This window comes from Homo sapiens, chromosome 5 (genome assembly GCF_000001405.40).
Source record: "Homo sapiens chromosome 5, GRCh38.p14 Primary Assembly".
Classification (NCBI taxonomy): Eukaryota; Metazoa; Chordata; class Mammalia; order Primates; family Hominidae; genus Homo; species Homo sapiens.
The window spans coordinates 7,260,018-7,282,260 of NC_000005.10; the positions used below are offsets into that span (position 1 = coordinate 7,260,018).

The 22,243-nt window shown below is 39.6% G+C and overlaps 1 long non-coding RNA gene across 4 annotated transcripts, besides 5 other annotated features; it reads left to right on the forward strand.

The window, feature by feature from the left end:
• Positions 2,056-2,604: an enhancer, noted in NCBI's record as "OCT4-NANOG-H3K27ac hESC enhancer chr5:7262186-7262734 (GRCh37/hg19 assembly coordinates)". NCBI's record gives its function as "activates a minimal SCP1, AML or CMV promoter by ChIP-STARR-seq in naive and primed H9 embryonic stem cells {active_cell/tissue: H9 hESC(naive and primed)}" and the evidence as "EXISTENCE:reporter gene assay evidence [ECO:0000049][PMID:30033119]".
• Positions 2,605-3,153: an enhancer, noted in NCBI's record as "OCT4-NANOG-H3K27ac hESC enhancer chr5:7262735-7263283 (GRCh37/hg19 assembly coordinates)". NCBI's record gives its function as "activates a minimal SCP1, AML or CMV promoter by ChIP-STARR-seq in primed H9 embryonic stem cells {active_cell/tissue: H9 hESC(primed)}" and the evidence as "EXISTENCE:reporter gene assay evidence [ECO:0000049][PMID:30033119]".
• Positions 3,327-4,094: an enhancer, noted in NCBI's record as "OCT4-NANOG-H3K27ac-H3K4me1 hESC enhancer chr5:7263457-7264224 (GRCh37/hg19 assembly coordinates)". NCBI's record gives its function as "activates a minimal SCP1, AML or CMV promoter by ChIP-STARR-seq in naive and primed H9 embryonic stem cells {active_cell/tissue: H9 hESC(naive and primed)}" and the evidence as "EXISTENCE:reporter gene assay evidence [ECO:0000049][PMID:30033119]".
• Positions 7,442-8,292: an enhancer, noted in NCBI's record as "NANOG-H3K27ac hESC enhancer chr5:7267572-7268422 (GRCh37/hg19 assembly coordinates)". NCBI's record gives its function as "activates a minimal SCP1, AML or CMV promoter by ChIP-STARR-seq in naive H9 embryonic stem cells {active_cell/tissue: H9 hESC(naive)}" and the evidence as "EXISTENCE:reporter gene assay evidence [ECO:0000049][PMID:30033119]".
• Positions 8,293-9,144: an enhancer, noted in NCBI's record as "OCT4-NANOG-H3K27ac hESC enhancer chr5:7268423-7269274 (GRCh37/hg19 assembly coordinates)". NCBI's record gives its function as "activates a minimal SCP1, AML or CMV promoter by ChIP-STARR-seq in naive H9 embryonic stem cells {active_cell/tissue: H9 hESC(naive)}" and the evidence as "EXISTENCE:reporter gene assay evidence [ECO:0000049][PMID:30033119]".
• Positions 12,778-17,726, forward strand: LOC105374643 (uncharacterized). 4 transcript variants are annotated; one of them, XR_925749.3, is made up of 4 exons: positions 12,778-12,903; positions 15,823-15,962; positions 16,636-16,779; positions 17,554-17,726. It is a non-coding gene; the product is annotated as an uncharacterized LOC105374643 (long non-coding RNA). The 4 variants fall into 4 exon arrangements; XR_925750.3 differs by having other exon boundaries at positions 17,613-17,726; XR_925751.3 differs by lacking the exon at positions 16,636-16,779 and having other exon boundaries at positions 17,557-17,726.
• The last annotated feature ends 4,517 nt before the right edge of the window (positions 17,727-22,243 follow it).

The window sequence follows — 22,243 nt, forward strand, 5'->3', positions numbered from 1 at the left end:
AATAGAAAAAAAAAGAAATCCAGTTAATTTAGCTACATGCAGATGTTAAAATCACAGTGTTAACAAATGAATTTTTAAAAACAAAACAGAATTAATTTGGAAATACAAAAAAATGAAAATTCTAAAGTTAAAAAATAGAATGACTAAAAAGAACTCAACAGATAATGTTAAAGCAAGAGTAGATTTAGTTGAGGAGAGAATTAGTGAACTTGAAGACAAATTATAAATTATCTAGGCTGAAGATGGAGAGACAGTGGATGCAAAGCCCAGGGAGGAAAAAGCAGAAAAGGAATACATGAACCTCACAGAGGACAAATGCAATGAACACCGCACTTAGGTGCAAAGGGTTTATCAGGTAAAAAAAAACAACAAGACTAACTTTAAAATTAGACAAAGATGAGAGAATGACTTCTGGAATGGCAGTGTAAAGAGACCTGTAGAAACAACCAACCACCACTGGTTAAAATTTTGATATGTATAGTTTTATATATAATATGTGTGTGTGTGTGTGTGTGTGTGTGTGTATATATATATATGTATATATATATATGTGTATATATATATATGTATATATATATGTGTATATATACATATATATATACATATATATATATACATATATATATATACACATATATATATATCTTTGGAATGCCCTTGGGAATTGTCCTAAGGGCATGTAACAAATGAAGGAACACTTATTCAAGAAAATCTATTAATTCTCACCAAGGACAGTGAGATTCTACGGCATTTGAGCTTCAGACTGAAAGTAAGTAACCTTAGCAATTCAAATCCCTCCCCTCAACATAAAAACACAGATCATCAGCAAAGGCCATCATGTACTTATAAAAGGTGGCATGATTGCATATTTTTTCTCCTTTCTTCTCTTAACTAACATAAAAAAGCAATACTATAAACTAACATTTATGTAATTGTATTAGTGGGCTTATAACCTATAGAAATATATTTGATCAAGGATGTGTTTGGGACCAAAGCTATATTGGGGTGAAGAAATGATACCAAATGGTAACTTGAAATCGAAAGAAAACAATGGAGAAAGCCACAAAGGTAAATACGAAGTCTAACACGAAAACTCTTGCAGAGAGTTTGAGGGATTTGGGGCCTAGCAAGGAAAAATATATGAACACGAGGTGGCAGTAAAGCACAACAAGCTTTATTTCAGTGCTGCTTTGAGAGGATTGCCTGGGAGAGGAAAATTCCTCAGAGCCTGAGACCTTCTAAAGACAATGCCAGGGAGCCACAGCCCAGGAGGGGAGGGGTACACAGGGATTCCTGCAGGAGTGGGGGAACCGGGGAGAGTGCTCACTTATCTAGAGGCTATTGCTCAGCAGGATGATGAGAGGGAGGGTCTCCGGGTCAGAGAAATCCAAGGCAGCAGTGGTTTGGGGTTTTTATTGCCCAAGGCTTACTTTACCTATTACAAGTAGGTGTTGGGCATAGTTTTGTGGGTTATTCAGAAAAGGAAGGCTCTAAATGCCCACATTTTTGCTTCCTTGGGCTATAATTAAAACCTGTGTAAAAGAAATTTTCCACTAAACGTCTCAGGCTGCCATGATGAAGTAAACACAACAGGGCCAACATACAAGAGCTGTCTTTGACTCATTTATTTAACAACTCTTTAAGTACAGCTTTTCTCTTTTTTTCTTCCCTAACCTTCTTTAAAAGACATAAAATTATGCAGCAGGAGCTGTAATAGTGTTCTGTCACAATTGTAACACCTATAGATATAATAGACATAATAGTAATAACACAGAAAAAGAAAAGAAATAGGCATATAAATAGCATTTATGTATTTTCTTACAATTAATTTAGTATAAATCTGAAGTTAATTTTGACAAGTTAATATGCATATTATCATCCCTAGAACAACCAGGAAGAAATTAACTCAAAAAATATAGTGAAAAGATTGTCAAAAGAATTACATTATTGCCTTAAAATAGTCACTTAATTCAAAAGACGGTAGTAAGGGTAAACTAGAGAAAAAAAAAGACGATGTATAGAAAACAAAATGTAAAATGGCAGACATAAATCCAACAATATTAATAATAACATTAAATGTGAATGGATAAAATAAGCAAATCAAAAGGCAGGGATTATGTCAGATTGGATAAAAAAAGTAAGATCCTATTAATGCTGTCTAGGGTAGCCATATTTTAATTCAAGTATACAAATAGGATGAAAGCAAAATCATGGAAAATATATATTATGCAAATAGTAATAATAGTAATCAACTGATGAATGGATAAATAAAATGAAATATTTGACAGTAAAAAAGAATGAAGTTGTGGTACATGTTACTGTCAGGCCTCTGAGCCCAAGCTAAGCCATCATATCCCCTGTGACCTGCACGTACACATCCAGATGGCCGGTTCCTGCCTTAACTGATGACATTCCACCACAAAAGAAGTGAAAATGGCCTGTTCCTGCCTTAACTGATGACATTGTCTTGTGAAATTCCTTCTCCTGGCTCATCCTGGCTCAAAAGCTCCCCTACTGAGCACCTTGTGACCCCCACTCTGCCTGCCAGAGAACAACCCCCTTTGACTATAATTTTCCTTTATCTACTCACATCCTATAAAATGGCCCCACCCCTATCTCCCTTCGCTGACTCTTTTCGGACTCAGCCTGCCTGCACCCAGGTGATTAAAAGCTTTATTGCTCACACAAAACCTGTTTGATGGTCTCTTCACACGGACGCGCATGAAAGTTACAACTTGAAAATATGATACACACATTAGAAAAAAAGCATGCCAATTAAATGCAATTTATAGAAACACAACAAAAGAAACTCAGAAAAATGATGAAAAAAGATACGGTTCACATACAGCAAGATGGTGTAGCTCCACTCGTGAAACACAATGGACTTTAAAACAACAAGCCTTACTAGAAATAAAGGGAGATATTTCACAATAATAAAAGTTCAAAAATTAAGAATACATAAGAATTGTATAGGCTTATATCTCGAAAACATAAGCAAAATTTACCAGAACTAAAAAGATAAGCAAAATGCCTGATAGAATAAGAAGAAAAATGCTTTTAACACACCCAAATAAGCAGAAAAAATTAACATAATATTAAAATTTTGAACAAGATTAACAAATTTGATCTGAAGACAATGTATATAGACTTTTACTCAACAACTTTAGAATATAACCTTTTCATGTGCATGCAAACAATTTGCCAAAACTGTGCATACGCTGAGCCATAAAGGAAGCATTAGTAAATTTTTAAGGATTGAATTCATGTTTTCAGACTTAAGTGAAATAATCTAGAACCATGTTATTTAATGCCATTGAAGTTAAATTAAATATAACAAAAAAGATAACTAGGGTATCTTCACAGTTGGAAATTAAGCACTATACTTCTAAATATCTAATGTCCCCACCAAAATTACAATAGAAGGTTAAAGAAGCATTTTAAACTGAATGACAGTAAGCCAGTACATACCAAAATGTGGCTTGAAATTAAAGGCATGGTTAGAGGGAAATTTAAAGACTTAAATATTGCAAGATTATGAAACAAGAAAGGCTGTAAATCAATGTGTCAGGCCTCTGAGCCCAAGCCAAGCCATCGCATCCCCTGTGACTTGCATGTATACTCCCAGATGGCCGGAAGTAACTGAAGAATCACAAAAGAAGTGAACATGCCCTGCCCCACCTTAACTGATGACATTCCACCACAAAAGAAGTGTAAATGGCCAGTCCTTGCCTTAACTGATGACATTACCTTGTGAAAGTCCTTTTCCTGGCTCATCCTGGCTCAAAAATCATCCCCACTGAGCACCTTGCGACCCCCACTCCTGCCTGCCAGAGAACAAACCCCCTTTGACTGTAATTTTTCTTTACCTACCCAAATCCTATAAAATGGCCCCACCCTTATCTCCCTTCGCTGACTCTCTTTTTGGACTCAGCCCACCTGCACCCAGGTGATTAAAAGCTTTATTGCTCACACAAAGCCTGTTTGGTGGTCTCTTCACATGGATATGTGTGAAATTTGGTGCCGTGACTCAGATCGGGGGACCTCCCTTGGGAGATCAATCCCCTGTACTCCTGTTCTTTGCTCCGTGAGAAAGATCCACCTATGACCTCAGGTCCTCAGACCAACCAGCCCAAGGAACATCTCACCAATTTTAAATCAGATAAGCGGCCTCTTCTTACTCTCTTCTCCAACCTCTCTCACTGTCCCTCAACCACTTTCTCCTTTCCACTCTTCAATCTCTCCCTTCTCTTAATTTCAATTCCTTTAATTTTCTGGGAGAGACAAAGGAGACACGTTTTATCCGTGGGCCCAAAACTCCGGCGCCGGTCACGGACTGGGAAGGCAGCCTCCCCTTGGTGTTTAATCATTGCAGGGACGCCTCTCTGATTATACACCCATGTTTCAAGGGTGTCAGACCACGCAGGGATGCCTGCCTTGGTCCTTCACCCTTAGCGGCAAGTCCCGCTTTTCTGGGGAAGGGGCAAGTACCACAACCCCTTCTCTCCTTGTCTCTACCCCTTCTTTGCTTTTCTGGGAGAGGGGCAAGTACCCCTCAACCCCTTCTCCTTCACCCTTAGCGGCAAGTCCCGCTTTTCTACCAGGCAATAACCCCCAATCCCTTATTTCCACGCACCAACCTCTTATCTCTGTGCCCCAATCCCTTATTTCCACACCCCAACCTCTTATCTCTGTGCCCCAATCCCTTATTTCCATGCCCTGACCTCTTATCTCTGCACCCCAACCCCTTTTCCCACTTTTCTGGAAGGTAAGAACCCCCGAACCCCTCCCCTCTGTTTCTCTACTCTCTCTTTTCTCTAGGCTTGCTTCCTTCACTATAGGCAACCTTCCACCCTCCATTCCTCCTTCTACTCCCTTGGCCTGTGTTCACAAAAACTTAAAACCTCTTCAACTCACACGTGACCTAAAACCTACAGGCCTTATTTTCTTCTGCAATGCCACTTGACCCCAATACAAACTCAACAGTAGTTCCAAATAGCCAGAAAATGGCACTTTGAATTTTTCCATCCTGCAAGATCTAAATAATTCTTGTTGTAAAATAGGCAAATGGTCTGAGGTGCCTGACATCCAGGCATTCTTTTACACATCAGTCCCTTCCTAGTCTCTGTGCCCAGTGCAACTCTTCCCAAATCTTCCTTCTTTCCCTCCCGCCTGTCCCCTCAGTCCCAACCCCAAGCGTCGCTGAGTCTTTCTAATCTTCCTTTTCTACAGACCCATCTGACCTCTTCCCTCCTCGCCAGGCCGAGCTAGGTCCCAATTCTTCCTCAGCCTCCGCTCCTCCACCCTATAATCTTTTTATCACCTCCCCTCCTCACACCTGGTCGGGCTTACAGTTTCTTTCCATGACTAGCCCTCCCCCACCTGCCCAGCATTTACTCTTAAAAAGGTGGCTGGAGCCAAAGGCATAGTCAAATTTAATGCTCCTTTTTCTTCATCCCAAATCAGATAGTGTTTAGGCTCTTTTTCATCAAATATAAAAATCCAGCCCAGTTCATGACTTGTTTGGCAGCAACCATGAGACACTTTACAGCCCTAGACCCTAAAAAGTCAAAAGGCCGTCTTATTCTCAAAACACATTTTATTACCCAATCTGCTCCCGACATTAAATAAAACTCCAAAAATTAAATTCCGGCCCTCAAACCCCACAACAGGATCTAATTAACCTCACCTTCAAGGTGTACAATTATAGAAAAAAGTTGCAATTCCTTGCCTCCACTGTGAGACAAACCCCAGCCACATCTCCAGCACACAAGAACTTCCAAACGCCTGAACCGCAGCGGCCAGGCGTTCCTCCAGAACCTCCTCCCACAGGAGCTTGCTACATGTGCTGGAAATCTGGCCACTGGGCCAAGGAATGCCCGCAGCCCAGGATTCCTCCTAAGCCGCGTCCCATCTGTGTGGGACCCCACTGAAAATCAGACTGTTCAACTCACCTGGAAGCCACTCCCAGAGCCCCTGGAACTCTGGCCCAAGGCTCTCTGACTGACTCCTTCACAGATCTTCTCGGCTTAGCGGCTGAAGACTGACACTGCCCGATGGCCTCGGAAGCCCCGTAGACCATCACGGACGCCGAGCTTCAGGTAACTCTCACAGTGGAAGGTGAGCCCGTCCCCTCTTAATCAATACGGAGGCTACCCACTCCACATTACCTTCTTTTCAAGGGCCTGTTTCCCTTGCCTCCATAACTGTTGTGGGTATTGACGGCCAGGCTTCTAAACCTCTTAAAACTCCCCAACTCTGTGCCAACTTAGACAATACTCTTTTAAGCACTCCTTTTTAGTTATCCCCACCTGCCCAGTTCCCTTATTAGGCCGAGACACTTTAACTAAATTATCTGCTTCCCTGACTATTCCTGGACTACAGCTGCATCTCATTGCCGCCCTTCTTCCCAATCCAAAGCCTCCTTTGCGTCCTCCTCTTGTATCCCCCCACCTTAACCCACAAGTATAAGACACCTCTACTCCCTCCTTGGCAACCGATCATGCACCCCTTACCATCTCATTAAAACCTAATCACCCTTACCCCACTCAACGCCAATATCCCATCCCACAGCACGCTTTAAAAAGATTAAAGCCTGTTATCACTTGCCTGCTACAGCATGGTCTTTTAAAGCCTACAAACTCTCCTTACAATTCCCCCATTTTACCTGTCTTAAAACCAGACAAGCCTTACAAGTTAAGTTCAGGATCTGCGCCTTATCAACCAAATTGTTTTGCCTATCCACCCCGTGGTGCCAAACCCATATACTCTCCTATCCTTAATACCTGCCTCTACAACCCATTATTCTGTTCTAGATCTCAAACATGCTTTCTTTACTATTCCTTTGCACCCTTCATCCCAGCCTCTCTTTGCTTTCACTTGGACTGACCCTGACACCCATCAAGCTCAGCAAATTACCTAGGCTGTACTGCCGCCAAGCTTCACAGACAGCCCCCATTACTTCAATCAAGCCCAAATTTCTTCTTCATCTGTTACCTATCTCGGCATAATTCTCGTAAAAACACACGTGCTCTCCCTGCCAATCGTGTACGACTGATCTCTCAAACCCAAACACCTTCTACAAAACAACTTCTTTCCTTCCTAGGCATGGTTAGTGCGGTCAGAATTCTTACACAAGAGTCAGGACCGCGCCCTGTAGCCTTTCTGTCCAAACAACTTGACCTTACTGTTTTAGCCTAGCCCTCATGTCTGCATGCAGCAGCTGCCGCTGCTTTAATATTTTAGAGGCCCTCAAAATCACAAACTATGCTCAACTCACTCTCTACAGTTCTCATAACTTCCAAAATCTATTTTCTTCCTCATACCTGATGCATATACTTTCTGCTCCCCGGCTCCTTCAGCTGTACTCACTCTTTGTTGAGTCTCCCACAATTACCGTTGTTCCTGGCCCAGACTTCAATCTGGCCTCCCACATTATTCCTGATACCACACCTGACCCCCATGACTGTATCTCTCTGATCCACCTGATATTCACCCCATTTCCCCAAATTTCCTTCCTTCCTGTTCCTCACCCTGATCACGCTTGATTTATTGATGGCGGTTCCACCAGGCCTAATCGCCACACACCAGCAAAGGCAGGTTATACTATAGTACAAGCCACTAGCTCGCCTCTTAGAACCTCTCATTTCCTTTCCATCATGGAAATCTATCCTCAAGGAAATAACTTCTCTGTGTTCCATCTGCTATTCCACTACTCCTCAGGGATTATTCAGGCCCCCTGCCTTCCCTACACATCAAGCTTGTAGATTTGCCCCCACCCAGGACTGGCAAATTAGCTTTACTCAACATGCCCTGAGTCAGATAGCTAAAATACCTCTTAGTCTAGGTAGACACTTCCACTGGATAGGTACAGGCCTTTCCTACAGGGTCTGAGAAGGTCACCACAGTCATTTCTTCCCTTCTGTCAGACATAATTCCTCAGTTTAGCCTTCCCACCTCTATACAGTCTGATAACAGACCAGCCTTCATTAGTCAAATCAGCCAAGCAGTTTTTCAGGCTCTTAGTATTCAGTGAAACCTTTATATCCCTTACGGTCCTCCGCCTTCAGGAAAAGTAGAACGGACTAAAGGTCTTTTAAAAACACACCTCCCCAAGCTCAGCCACCAACTTAAAAAGGACTGGACAATACTTTTACCACTTTCCCTTCTCAGAAGTCAGGCCTGTCCTCAGAATGCTACAGGGTACAGCCCATTTAAGCTCCTGTATAGATGCTCCTTTTTATTAGGCCCCAGTCTCATTCCAGACACCAGACCAACTTAGACTGTGCCCCAAAAAACTTGTCATCCCTCCTATCTTCTGTCTAGTCATACTCCTAATCACCATTCTCAACTACTCATACATGCCCTGCTCTTGTTTACACTGCCGGTTTACACTGTTTTTCCAAGCCATCACAGCTGATATCTCCTGGTGCTATCCCCAAACTGCCACTCTTAACTCTTGAAGTAAATAAATAATCTTTGCTAAAAGGACTATGCTGAATCTCCTTAGGCACTCTCTAATCAGATATCCTGAGTTGTCCCAATTCTTAGACCTTTTATACCTGTTTTTCTCCTTCTGTTATTCCATGTAGTTTCTCAATTCATCCAAAACCGTATCTAGGCCATCACCAATCATTCTATATGACAAATGTTTCTTCTAACAGTCCCACAATATCACCCCTTACCACAAGACCTCCCTTCAGCTTAATCTCTCCCACTCTAGGTTCCCACGCCGCCCCTAATCCCGCTCGAAGCAGCCCTGAGAAACATCGCCCATTCTCTCTCCATACCACCCCCCAAAAATTTTCGCCACCCTAACACTTCAACACTATTTTGTTTTATTTTTCTTATTAATATAAGAAGGCAGGAATGTCAGGCCTCTGAGCCCAAGCCAAGCCATCACATCCCCTGTGACTTGCACGTATACTCCCAGATGGCCGGAAGTAACTGAAGAATCACAAAAGAAGTGAATATGCCCTGCCCCACCTTAACTGATGACATTCCACCACAAAAGAAGTGTAAATGGCCGGTCCTTGCCTTAACTGATGACATTACCTTGTGAAAGTCCTTTTCCTGGCTCATCCTGGCTCAAAAACACCCCCACTGAGCACCTTGCGACCCCCACTCCTGCCTGCCAGAGAACAAACCCCCTTTGACTGTAATTTTCCTTTACCTACCCAAATCCTATAAAATGGCCCCACCCTTATCTCCCTTTGCTGACTCTCTTTTCGGACTCAGCCCACCTGCACCCAGGTGATTAAAAGCTTTATTGCTCACACAAAGCCTGTTTGGTGGTCTCTTCACACGGACACGCATGAAATTTGGTGCCGTGACTCGGATCGGGGGACCTCCCTTCAACATTCCCACTGAAGAAATAAGAAAAAGCACAGCAAATTAAATCCAAAGATGATAGAAGGAAAGAAATGATGTAAACAGAATGAGTAACATACAAAGAACAGGAGTAGAAAACAGAAATATTTAAAACCAAAATCTAGTGTTTTGAAAATACTGTAAAATGGACACACACTAACAAAGGTAATCAAGAAAAAGACAAAAACTGTGAGAGGATAATTATTGTTGTTGCTGCTGTTATGGCAGCACAGTTACGGGAGTCCATTTTTGAACACAGGCTCCCACCTTCAACTTATCACTTCCTTATCTTTGCTTGGGTGCCCGATGACTTTAAAGAGACTGTTTCTTTGTAGAAGGTGGAATGAGCTTAAAGGTGAGAGTCATGTTTTGGCATTCAGACCAGGTATTAGGCTTTCTCCTACATTAACAAATGAATAATGTTAGGAATGCATGGAAGGTCACAGCTGCACCTGGAGGGGAGAGTATGAAAACCATAACTTAATAACATGATGCCAATACATCTGAAAGCATAGAAAATAGAATCGTACAATATAGATAACTACAGACTAAATGGATAATTTTCTAGAAAGCTAAAAAATAGCTAAATAGATTCCAGAAGATGCGATTACCTAGATAACCTAACCATCGTTAAAAAACATTTGGAATAGAGAGCAAAACATTTTATCTTAACCTTATCTTTCACCCCAAAATGATACCAGGGCCAGAAGGCTTCTGGCTGTGTGGGAGTAAATCATTCATTGCATGAGTCCTCCCTTATGCTAACTGTTCCACAAAGTAGAGTAAAATTTCTTTTTATGAGGCTAATACAACCTTGATAACATTTCTGAATAAGAACTGAGTAAGAAAATTACATACCATATGTACCATGAAGTAGATACAAAAAGTCTAAATTTAAATGGGGAAATTGGATTCAGCAGTATAATTATGAAAAATGTCTTCAAGACACACTAGGATTTGTCTCCTAAAAACAAAGAGTGGCATAACAGTGGGAAGTCTATCAATTATAATTCACCACAACAATGAGCGAAAGAACAACCAAATGAACATATCGATTGTAAATATTGGAATAAAATTCAAAACTCACTTTCAATTTTTAACAAATGTAGAACTTTAGTAAAGTAGAAGATGAGAAGTATTTAATCAAAACACATGCAAAAACCATTTGTAAATGGGAGAATTCCCATTAAGTAAAGAATATTATATTTTCTATCTTCACTAGTATTAAATATTTGAGTAATATGTGATATAATATATAATATGACTGAAAAAGAGTATGTAAGGAGTGAAACAGAAGGACCCAATGTGTCATAATTGTAGACTGTTGAAAATAGTCTACAACTGAGAGAGTTAACAGATAAATTAAAGAGCAAGATGAATTTATAAGATGAACATATAAACATCAATAACAGCATAAATTATTTGTTAAAATTATACTAGGAACAAATATTCACAATAGCAACGATAATATATTTAAGAATGAACCCAACAAACAAAATATGTACAAGCACTTAATGGATGATACTGCAAAATTTTGCCAAAGGATAAAAGAACCGAACATAGGACAAGTAACATTAATAAATGGGAAATCTCAATGATATGCAGTCATTAACTCCAAAAGTAAAATTATAAAATTCTTACAGAAGAATAAACATCCCAGAATAACAATGCGCATTTTGAAAAATGTAAACAATGAGATGAAATTGACAACAAGTGTTAAGACATACTATAAAATTATATTAATTCAATAAAGTATAATATGGGTAAAGTCATAGAGAAATAATTATAAAAGTGTATTTATTTCTACCTGTTTGTCTAACTATTCATACATCCCCTATCTAGCATTTGTATATATGCACAAAAACATGAAGTAGTGTTTACTTCATATTAATGATTGGTTTTCCCGGATGATGGGGTTTAGACTCATATTGTCTTTCGCCATTTTGGTACTTTTCTTCACTGCTTAAATGCTTTATAATGTACTTTTTTTCTTTCTGCCAAAACAATTTAGTGAGGGTGTTTTTTTAAACAAAGATGTTTTCCTCATATTATTAAAGAGGATTTTTCTCAGAGAAATATTAAAAAGTAAATTAGTTGATATTTAAATGACTACCTTAGTTGATGTGCTTTCCACCAAAAGCCTGAACCATAAGATGTGTGTACGGTGTAGCAGGCATAACAACTGCATCCCGTCTCCCAGCACTAGGATAGCAAGTCCCCGTCGCCCCACCAAGCAATTCAATGGGTGAGTCCAAGGCATTTTGCATATTTCCAGTTTCAGTTGTTGGGGGCTGGGTGTCAGGGCAGTAAAAATAATATGTCTGCTCTCTTTTCAGCCACATGGCTTGAAGAAACAATTCTCAGATCCGAAGGTGCTCTTCCCTGAAAAATTAGGCATGAAGAGAAGGGAAATTTAATGACATCCATTAAAATAACTCAATGCCCCACAGATAAAATGTCAATCTGGCAATAATTCCTCTTCTGGTTGCGGCTCAGCTTCCTTATGGTGCTCTCACACCCATAAAACACCAAGCCCAGATGAAGGCTGCACTGGCTGCTGTTTGACTTGGCAGATTTAGAGGCAGAGACCACAGTTGCTGGGGTAGCAGCAGACAGAATTGGCTGGTCATAGCTGAGTCAAAAGCTAAAGATCTTGTCTGTATCCTAGTGATACAATTAGACAAGAATAATGAAGGAAGGAAGAAAAGTCCCAGGAGAAAAGAGGCTGTAGTTTTGTACATTCTCCTCATAAAATCACATTTATTGATCATGCAAAGTAGCAAGGGAGATTCTTAGGCCATTTCATGGCAAACTAGGAGACAGAAGAAAGACTGCAGATCTTATCAGACTTACAGAGGCAGGTTTCTCCTGAGACAGCTTTACTTTCCATTGTGGAAATATATCGGCTAAAGGAGTCACTCATTGGTACCTTAGCAAGATGAAAGGTCTCAGGTCCATCACCTACAGTTCTGCTTGGCAAAGCAGAGTTCCCTTTGCTGCCCTCTGTTACGGATTGAATTATGTCCCCTCAAAAAGATGTGTCAAAGACCTAAGCCCCAGTGCCTGTGAATGTGACTTCTTTGCAGTTGTCATAAAGTTAAGAATAGAACCATTAAAATGGGCCTTAATGTAACATGACCAATGTCCTTCTAAGAAGAACATGTGGACACACACATATACACACGCAGGAGAATACCGTGTGAAGACACAGGTACACAGGGAAGATAGCATGTGGGGTCCAGGTGGAGATTGAAGTGAACAATCTGTGGCTACTGGAAGATGAAAAGGCAAGAAAAGATCCTCTCCTGGAGGCTTCAGAGGAAGCATGGCCCTGACAACACCTCAACTTTGGACTTCTGGCCTCCAGAACTTTGAGTTGATAATTATTGTTGTTGCTGTTGTCATGGCAGCACAGTTATGGGAGCACATTTTTGAACACAGGCTCCCACCTTCAACTTATCACTTCCTTACCTTTGCTGGGGTACCTGATGACTTTAAAGAGACTGTTTCTTTGGAGAAGGTGGAATACGCTTAAAGGTGAGAGTCAAGTTTTGGCATTCACACCAGGTAGTAGGCTTTCTCCTAGTTCCAATCATGTAGGCTTATACTTACTAGGGTTTTTGTTGTTGTTGTTGACGTGGCACTATTGTCTAACAAACCTCAGCTTATCCTTGAGGACAACCTTATTGGACTTTTTCCTTTTATTCAAAGCAAGTTGTGCCGGTGACTGCCAGTGTTCACAGAATCCTTGTCCTCATTTTCTTCTAGAGCACACATTTAGACAACATCTCCCAGCCTCCCTTGCAGTTAAGTCTGGCTTTGTGATGAGGTTCTAGATAGCACAGTTGGAACAGAAGTGATGTGTGCCACTTCCATGTCTCAGCCCTGGTCTCCAAAACTTCCCACAGGTGCTAGTCATACTCTTTACCCTTCTCGCAGATTGGAATGGATACAACCAAACCACCATAAAAGCCTTATGTGGAACATGGCAGACCTCTCTCAATCAAAATCCCGATACGACCACAGGGAATGACCGCCCTCATGGGCCAGCTTTGGACTGTCATGTGAATGACAAGTAAAGTCTTACTGTGATTAAGCATTGTACAGTTTGGAGTCTGCTGGATAGAGTATCCAGCAACACCCTAGCCAATGCAGTATTTGATGCCTTAAACTTCACATGCCTTTATATCGTTACACATTTTACTTCCTATCTTTTATAACTGATTCAGTGTGTTGTACATGTGTGGATGGATATTCAATTAATATGTGACACATTGATTATCAGCTCAAATGTGGCAGATGGAGATGGATCCTTCTTGACCTCTCATTGATTCTTTTTAGTCAATTGAAATTGCATTATCCCTGAATATTCTTCTTTTCATAAATTTGCTATGTATTTGAAATGTCAAATCTTAAATCTTCTTTGGCTCACCTTAATGCTTTCTTTTCATGTGAACAACAGCTATGTTCCAAGAGTCAAGAAATCTCAATATGAATAAAGCCAGGGCATGGACTCCCCATGTTTGTCTTGTCCCCTGTCTATTTTACTTGTTCAGGTTCCTTTTATCTAGCAGAGGTAGGGATATCCATACCACAGTGAAGCTTCTCATACTCCAAGTTTCTAGAAATGATTGAAAGTTTTTTTTAAAATCCAAAACAAGATGGAAAACAAGAAAGCATCCACTGGCTCTAAAAACTATGAGAAATCCTTGAAAGGTATTAAGGCAGACATCAATTGTGTTGAAATAGAAAACTAAAAATTTATGAAATTGTGGGAAAAGCACAAAATCACACCTTAATTAGAGGCGGTGGCAGGAGGGGCCCTGAAAACCTGGGAAGGGACACCAGAAGGGGCTTCCAGCTGCTCCTGCCCATGCTCCACAGCCTGCCAGCTGCATACCTTGTTGGGCCAGGTTGTTGTAAGGGGGCTATCTGGATGGTGTGAGAGCTTGGGTCTGAAAGCAGGGAAGTGCCTCAGATGGTTAGAGGGCCCCAGGCTGGAAGGGATTACGGCACATCGCCAAGATGGCACGGCTCACAGCAGATCGAGGCTTCTCCTGCTCTTGTGGAAACAACCAAGGACCCAGAAGCCCTCCTTCCCTTTCCCAGGAAGCCTACAAATGAAGGCAACAGGGCTTCTCATACAGATGAGAGCCAAATTCTAACGTGGTGGGCAGACTGAGAACTAACAACCCTGAGAACTGAGGGGAGGACGCCCACCCAGTGAAACACAGATAACTGAACAACCAGATGGCAGCCATGAGAAGTCCACATGCTGGACCTTCAGAGACGCTGAAGGCGGATCTCGTGTGAATAAGAAGTGTGAGAATTAAAAACTTGCTCACGCAAATTAAAAGTGCAACAGATCAGCTAAATAACATAATGGACACAATTGAAGAAAAAATTAGCCGACCAGAAGATTCGGGTGAGGAATTCTTCCAGAAGGTGACCTGAGAGGATAAAGACAAAGTAAGAAAGAAATATTAAGAAGCATCATGAACAGATTCACAGATTCTAACATTCATCTCCTGTGCCGCTCAGAAGAGGGAATAGAGGGTACAGAGAATAAGCGGGATGAAGAGAAGTAATAGGGAAGGCTCTAGAGGGGAGGAGAAGGCAGAAATTTCGAAGGGCTCTCAGAATTTATCAGAAAGTACTTTTTAAAAAATGATCAAGTAGGCATATGTAATTGAATTTCAGAAAACCAAGTATAAAATATAAATCTTTTCAACTTCTAGAAAAAAAGACAAAGCACAATAATGTAAATGCACCAAATGAACATTAGAATTCAGAAACGTAGCAACATATATAAGAAGACAATAAAAACATTTTGAAATCTCTGAGAGAAATAAGTTGGATTAGAATTCCATACTCAAAATGTAATTTCAGTATTAGGGTTGAATATTAAAGTTTTCTGATCTCCAAGGGCTCAAAGTTCCCAATCATTGATATCATACAGGCCATGTTTACAGAGCATAATAAATTTCAGAGAAATAATATTGCACCAAAGTGCAATAACACCAGAAATTAAAAGCAAACAATATGTATGTGTGTGTGTGTATGTGTGTGTGCATATATATATGAATGACAATAGCTTTTTGAAACTGTGAGATGAACCTGGAGTTTAAAGGAAAAATTTATAGTTGTGAATGCATTCATAAAGAAATTAATGAGTATGCAAAGTATGAAATAGATTTTCAAGCTAAGGAATTGAAAAAGAGCAATAAAACAATCACTAAGAATGTGAACAGTAGGAATTAATGAAAACAGAAACAGATATTAACAAAATGAATAAACGTAAAAGGGTACCTTTTTTCATCAATACAGAAAAGCTGTTTTTGAGACTAATAAAACAGACAAAACTTAGTTACACAAGGTGAAGGGGAAAGAGAGAGAAGTAGGAAGGTCCCATAGCTTTAAATTGAATATGATATTGACTGTTTTGTTTTATATTAGATTGGTCTTGCCTTTAAAACACCATTTTAAAAGAGACCATTTGTTAGTGCCTGAAATCTGTAACTGGCTTAAAAGCTCTGTCAGCTGGAAAGGAACCTGTCAGTGTGATAATGGAAAAGAAGAAGATACATCAGAGAGAGGTAAAAATGCTGGTAAAATAAAATGTTTTTTATTTATACTGTACTGGTTATGTTTCTATCAATGAACTGGTTTTTGTAGGTTACAGAACATTACTCAACAGTGAAAATATGACCAAAGTTGCCAATGGTGGAAATTTTGCTGTATCCATCAGGTCTCAACTCCTTTTTCTTTTTCTTTTTTTTTTTTTTTTTGAGATGGAGTCTCACCCTGTTACCCAGGCTGGAATGCAACAGGATGATCTCAGCTCACTGCAACCTCCACCCCCCAGGTTCAAACAATTCTCCTGCCTCAGCCTCCCGAGTAGCTAGGATTACAGGCACCTGCCAACATACTGAGCTAATTTTTGTATTTTTAGTACAGACGATGAATGTTGGCCAGGCTGGCCTCAAACTCCTGACCTCGTGATCCACCCACCTTGGCCTCCCAAAGTGCTGGGATTACAGGTGTGAGCCACTGTGCCCGGCCGGCCCTTATCCCCTTTTCAGTAGCAAACTAGACTTGTAGATGGGACAGAGTGTCCAGCATTCCTCAACTTGTCTTGCAGTGAAATGTGGCTGTGGCTCTGAGTTCATTTAAATGGAATAAGAACAAGAGGCATGTATGTCCCTCCTAGTCCAGGGCAGTGAGATTGAGTTTTGTCTTCTACATTCTCCTTTTCCACTTTCTAACCAGACAGAGGGTGAAAATACCAAGGATAGAGCAAGTCTGACAAACTCACGTTGAATAACAAGATCTTCATGGCCTGGATCCCTGAAAGACTGTGTGGAACAGAGCCCCTTGACAACCTGAAACCCCTACCTTCATTCAGATTGTTGTGTGAGGTTCCAATAATGTGATTCCTTTTTAAGACACTAAGGGGGAGTATTTGTTACAGCAGGTTAACATATATTAATTAACAGCCATATAATAAAATATGTGTGTATTTAAGAACAGCAAAAAAAAACCTTGAGATTGGGATCATTTCCACCAAATATATTAGAAGGTTTTTTAAAATGATGTATATATAGGTGATTATTTCTTTTCTATAATTCTTTTTGTCTTTTTTATAATATCTATAATTAACATGAGCTATTCTTAATGAGAATAAAAGTTATTTTTTGAATTATAAGTATGCATCATATATAACACTGAGTTTTTTTGTATTTTTTAAATTTTTTAATTTTAATTTTAATTTTTATTTAATTTTTTTTTTTTGAGATGGAGTCTTGCTCTGTTGCCCAGACTGGAGTGCAATGGCGTGATCTTGGATCACTACAACCTCCGCCTCCTGGATTCAAGCCACTCTTCTGCCTCAGGCCTCCCAAGTAGCTGGGACTAAAGGTGTGTGCCACCACGCCCAGCTAATTTTTGTATTTTTGGTAGAGACAGGCTTTTGCCATGTTGGCCAGGCTAAACACCTGACCTCAAGTGATCCATCTGCCTTGGCCTCCCGAAGAGCTGGGATTACAGGCGTAAGCCACTATGCCCGGCCAAAATCTGTATTTTTAATAAACTCCACCCTCCCCACACCCCAACTTCCAGGGCATGAGAAATCCCAGCCTTTGCCAGAATCTTTCACAGGGCCATGCTTATCACATGTGCTATCTTCAGCAGGATTTGCAAGTTAGAAAGCATCATTTTCGACTGGCCCTTCTCTGTTCTCCCACCAGCTCTTCTGAGGATTAAAGGAGGTAACTTAAGAAGAAGAGTTAATGAGAAAATGTCCAGTCTGAAGGAAAAAAGTGTAAGAAATGATTCCCAAATGTGAACACATAGAAACCATATGATAGTTCTTCTTAAATAGTAGAAAGTACTTTTCTAAAATGTTATTAATAAGACTAATAAAAAAGGAAATGATTTTGTTTATAATTTTTTAAAGGATATATTTTATACAAAGGATATGTATACCTTTTGAATATGCATGTATATATATACATATATATATATAATATCATGTGTTCTATATTATATAATACATTGGATATAATTATAATTCAGCCAGGCACGGTGGGTTACACCTGTAATCCCAGCACATTGGGAGGCAGAGGCAGGCAGATCACCCGAGGTCAGGAGTTTGAGGCCAGCCTGGCCAACACTGTGAAACCCCGTGTCTACTAAAAATACAAAAATTAGCCAGGCATGGTGATGCCTGCCTGTAGTCCCAGCTACTCGGGAGGCCAAGGCAGGAGAATTGCTTGAACCTGGGAGGTAGAGGTTGCAGTGAGCTGAGATCACACCACTGCCACTGCAATCCAGCTTGGGTGACAGAGTGAGACTCCATCTCAAAAAGTAAAAAATAAAAATAAATAAAAATAAAAAAATATAACTCATATGTCCTTGTAATATATATGATAAAACTCATTCTACTGGATATTTTTTCATCTAGTAATTGAACCATTCAATCTGGTTCTTGCCCAATAAATTCTAAATTATTAAAATTCAATTGAAGTGTCTTGAATTCTTAAGTGAAGTAAGTTATAAACTTTGGAGATAATACTAGAACTTACCATTTAAAGAAATTATAGATCATAAGCCTTAATTTTCTATATTGCTGGGAGATGCCCACTTGAAGTGCAACACTGTGGGATCTGGAGGAAAGTCCCCAGAGCTAGCAGTCTGGAAGACCTGGGCCAAAATCTGACTCTGGCATGACCTGGCTGGGTGACCTTGAGCAAGGCATTCAATCAAGCTAAACCTCAGGTGGCTCACCTGTGAAGTGGGAATAATAACACCTCCTTTCAGAACTGCAGAGAGAATTAACCATAAAGAATGAATCTAAACTATCCTATTTGCCATGGGGGAGAATAGTTACTGAAAAATAATAGATCTTAAATTATGTTAATAACAGTTTCTCCAAACAAAACCTCTCTCTTTCCGACTCTCCACCCTATGCTTTTCCAAGATCCCAGTATCTCTTTCTTCCTCATTTTGAATAAAAATAGGACAGTTTGACCCTGAGCTAATGATAAATATTGGAGAATTTTGCTACTCCTTTGTGTATATCATCTCACCAAGACTGTGAAAAAATGCAGCCCTCAAATTTTCCCACCTAAGATTGGTTAGAGGTTTTAAATGCATCCTTTATTTATGTCAACTTCCTTTATCTAAGAAAACAAGTTATTCCCTGCATGCCCGCATGTTATTCATCCAGCCGCTGGGCTTTTACCAATAGGATGCATGTGGCAGTGTACTGCTATCTCTGTTGCGCAGGGGTGCAATCAGTCACATTTTATTTTGGCTTTCACTGTCCACCGCTTGGAGACCCAGATGAAGAACAAACGAGATTTCTGTACTTCAACAGACTCTAATGAAAATTCCCACAAACTCTAGAGAAAAGTGGCTTTTGTTGACTCCTATGTTTTTCAAAACAATATACATAGTTTAGAATGTCTAAGGATAAAAATCAAAACTCCAAACTTTAATTAACAGAAAACTTACTTCAACGCTTTCTTTGATATCTACGATCTTGGAATAAATCTTAGTCTATAGACAGTTTATTTTTAATTGAACAAGAGGTTTTAATTGTCATCAATTTTGAGAATAACTTAAAAAAATTTGCTGTCTGAGGTAAAACAGAAAAGGGGAAACTATATAAAATAGAATCTTGATGAAACCAATATAAATGATTCAAAAATTCTTAGAAAAAATGAATTATTTATATGATAATCCTTATATCTCTATAATCATACCTATGCTATAACAATGATTAATTGTTACCTTATTTTAGGGACTCTTAACCCTTGTAATATGTGTTTTTCTTTTTCTTTTTTTTTTTTTTTGAGATGGCGTCTCGCTCTGTCGCCCAGGCTGGAGTGCAGTGGCACGATCTTGGCTCACTGCAAGCTCCGCCTCCCCGGTTCAGGCCATTCTCCTGCCTCAGCCTCCCGAGTAGCTGGGACTACAGGTGCCTGCCACCATGCCCAGCTAATTTTTTGTATTTTTAGTAGAGACAGGGTTTCACAGTTTTAGCTAGGATGGTCTCGATCTCCTGACCTCGTGATCCACCCGCCTCGGCCTCCCAAAGTGCTGGGATTACAGGCGTGAGCCACCGCGCCCGGCCAGTGTGTGTTTTTCTTATACCTCAAATGTTGATCTGTGTTCTAGTTTCTTGACAAGCTCTCTTGTTAACCTTCTGATTGCTCTTGAAGCTTGAAATCTACACATTATTATGTAATTTCACATCCTGTAGAACTGTTCTTTACACCAATGATGAATGGTTCAGCACTTACATTTTAAAAGTAGGAAGTTTGCTAAACAAGCCTAGTAAAATCAGGGATTTTTCTGGGGGAGACAGGAAGGTAAGTTTATCTACAAAGGATAAACTGTTACCTGGCAATAGCTTGGTGGGGGAATCAGGCTACAGTAACAAATTGCAATGACTACATGTCCTGGCTGATACGGTAAAATGGCAAAGCAGATATCAATGCCGTCAGCACTTTCCATAAAACATAAAGTAATCACAGATTAGTCATCAATGTGCCATATGCTTTGTAGGATCTGTGGTAATTAATCGGCATGGCAGATTTAGGTAGCAGTAAAGAGTATAAGTTTTGGAGGTGGAAAGCTACGTGTTCCCATACATAATCTCTTTCATTCTCTGTGCCTTAATTTTTTCATGTGTCAAGTTCAGATGGGAACACTTCCTTGCACTAGCCCAGGAAATAGACCTGTAGACGCTTCATAAAGTCGGAATTGACTCCACTAATATAAGTTTCATTTTCCGTTTTTCCTCTGACCTGGAGAAGTGATTTCTGTGTGCTTCCATATTGGGGAAAACAGAGGGGCTGAAGTTCCACTGTCACGTGCTAATATTCCCAGGGCCAAATGACAGGCAGGCATTTCAGGATGGTCACTAGCAGCTGATAGCAAAAAAAAAAAAAAAAAAAAAAAAAAAAGCTGTTTTTCACATGCAATTAATTGAGGTGTTTTTCACTGGTCAAAAGACCTCTCTTCTTGATATTGATTTTTTTTTTTTTATTTCCAAAAAGGAACCAAGAGGAAAATTGGGTTTGCAGTTCCATTTCTCAATACTTTGAGCCAAACTATTCAGGGAGGAAAGCTTGCTTTTGTTTATGGACAATTTTATTGACTTGTTCTAATAAAAGGAATGTATAACCAGAGAATTATAGGTTGAGAGAGGTGGAGAGCATGTAAAGGGCCACCCCTGCCCTTCTATTGCTCCAGGACATATCCATGTCAACATCAGATAAATGGGAATTTGTCCTATTTTTCAACACAAATGGAAAGAAGAGATTCCACTATTTTCCGGTTTAATGTAACATGTAGTCAGTCTCAAAATAAAGGTGGGGGTTTTTACCCCCATCTTTATATTTATATATAAATTATTCATATTGTGTGTGTGTATATATATATATATATATATAGTGTGTATATATGTCATAAAAATTTGTGCATATAAAATGTATATATAGCATATAAAACTGAGATGGAGATATATAAGGTACTTATTGTACATTACTCTCTCTTCAGTCCTTTTTCTTAAGGCTAAACCATTATTTCCTCCTCTGGGAATCTGTTTTGTTTTGTTTTCCAAATCCACGAATAATTTTTGGATCTTTCCATCAAAACTTTTCAAGTTCTTCTTGCCACCTATAAGCCGAGGAATCCTGATTTTCTTCCATCTCTCAAAATCTAACTATAGAGATATGATCATGTTACCTGATGCTAGCGAGGCAAGCCTAACACCGTTGCTGGGATGAGCTTCGTGTTATCAGGAGGAGAGCCTGCCATCACACCATGGCATCTCAATTTTCATTTACAAATGCTCTATTTGTAGCTAGCCTGATTCTTAGCTCTCTTACCTGCTATTCCACATCATTTTATTTTCATTTCTTTTGTAGTATCTAATGTATTCTACTAAAAAAAAAAAGTAGAGTAGTTGGAAAACTCTTGTGAAAAAAACATATGTATTACATATATACCATTCTTCATGATTCTCAACATTTTCATCATTATTAATGTTTTGTATATATATATATTGTGTGTGTGTATGCGTGTTAGATATATAATTTAAAAGAAAACAATAAGTTGGTGGCTTATGGCAAATTGTTCCTTAAGTCCTGCATTTGAAACATAGACACTGAGTGAATCAGCACATTTGATCATCTTTTAACTACAATAGATAATTATACATTAAAAATACATTAACCATCCAAATACATCTTTTTTCTTATTTATTTATTTATGTATTTATTTATTTATTTTTATTTATTTTTTTGAGATGGAGTCTTGCTCTGTCGCCCAGGCTGGAGTGCAGTGGCGCGATCTCAGCCCACTGCAA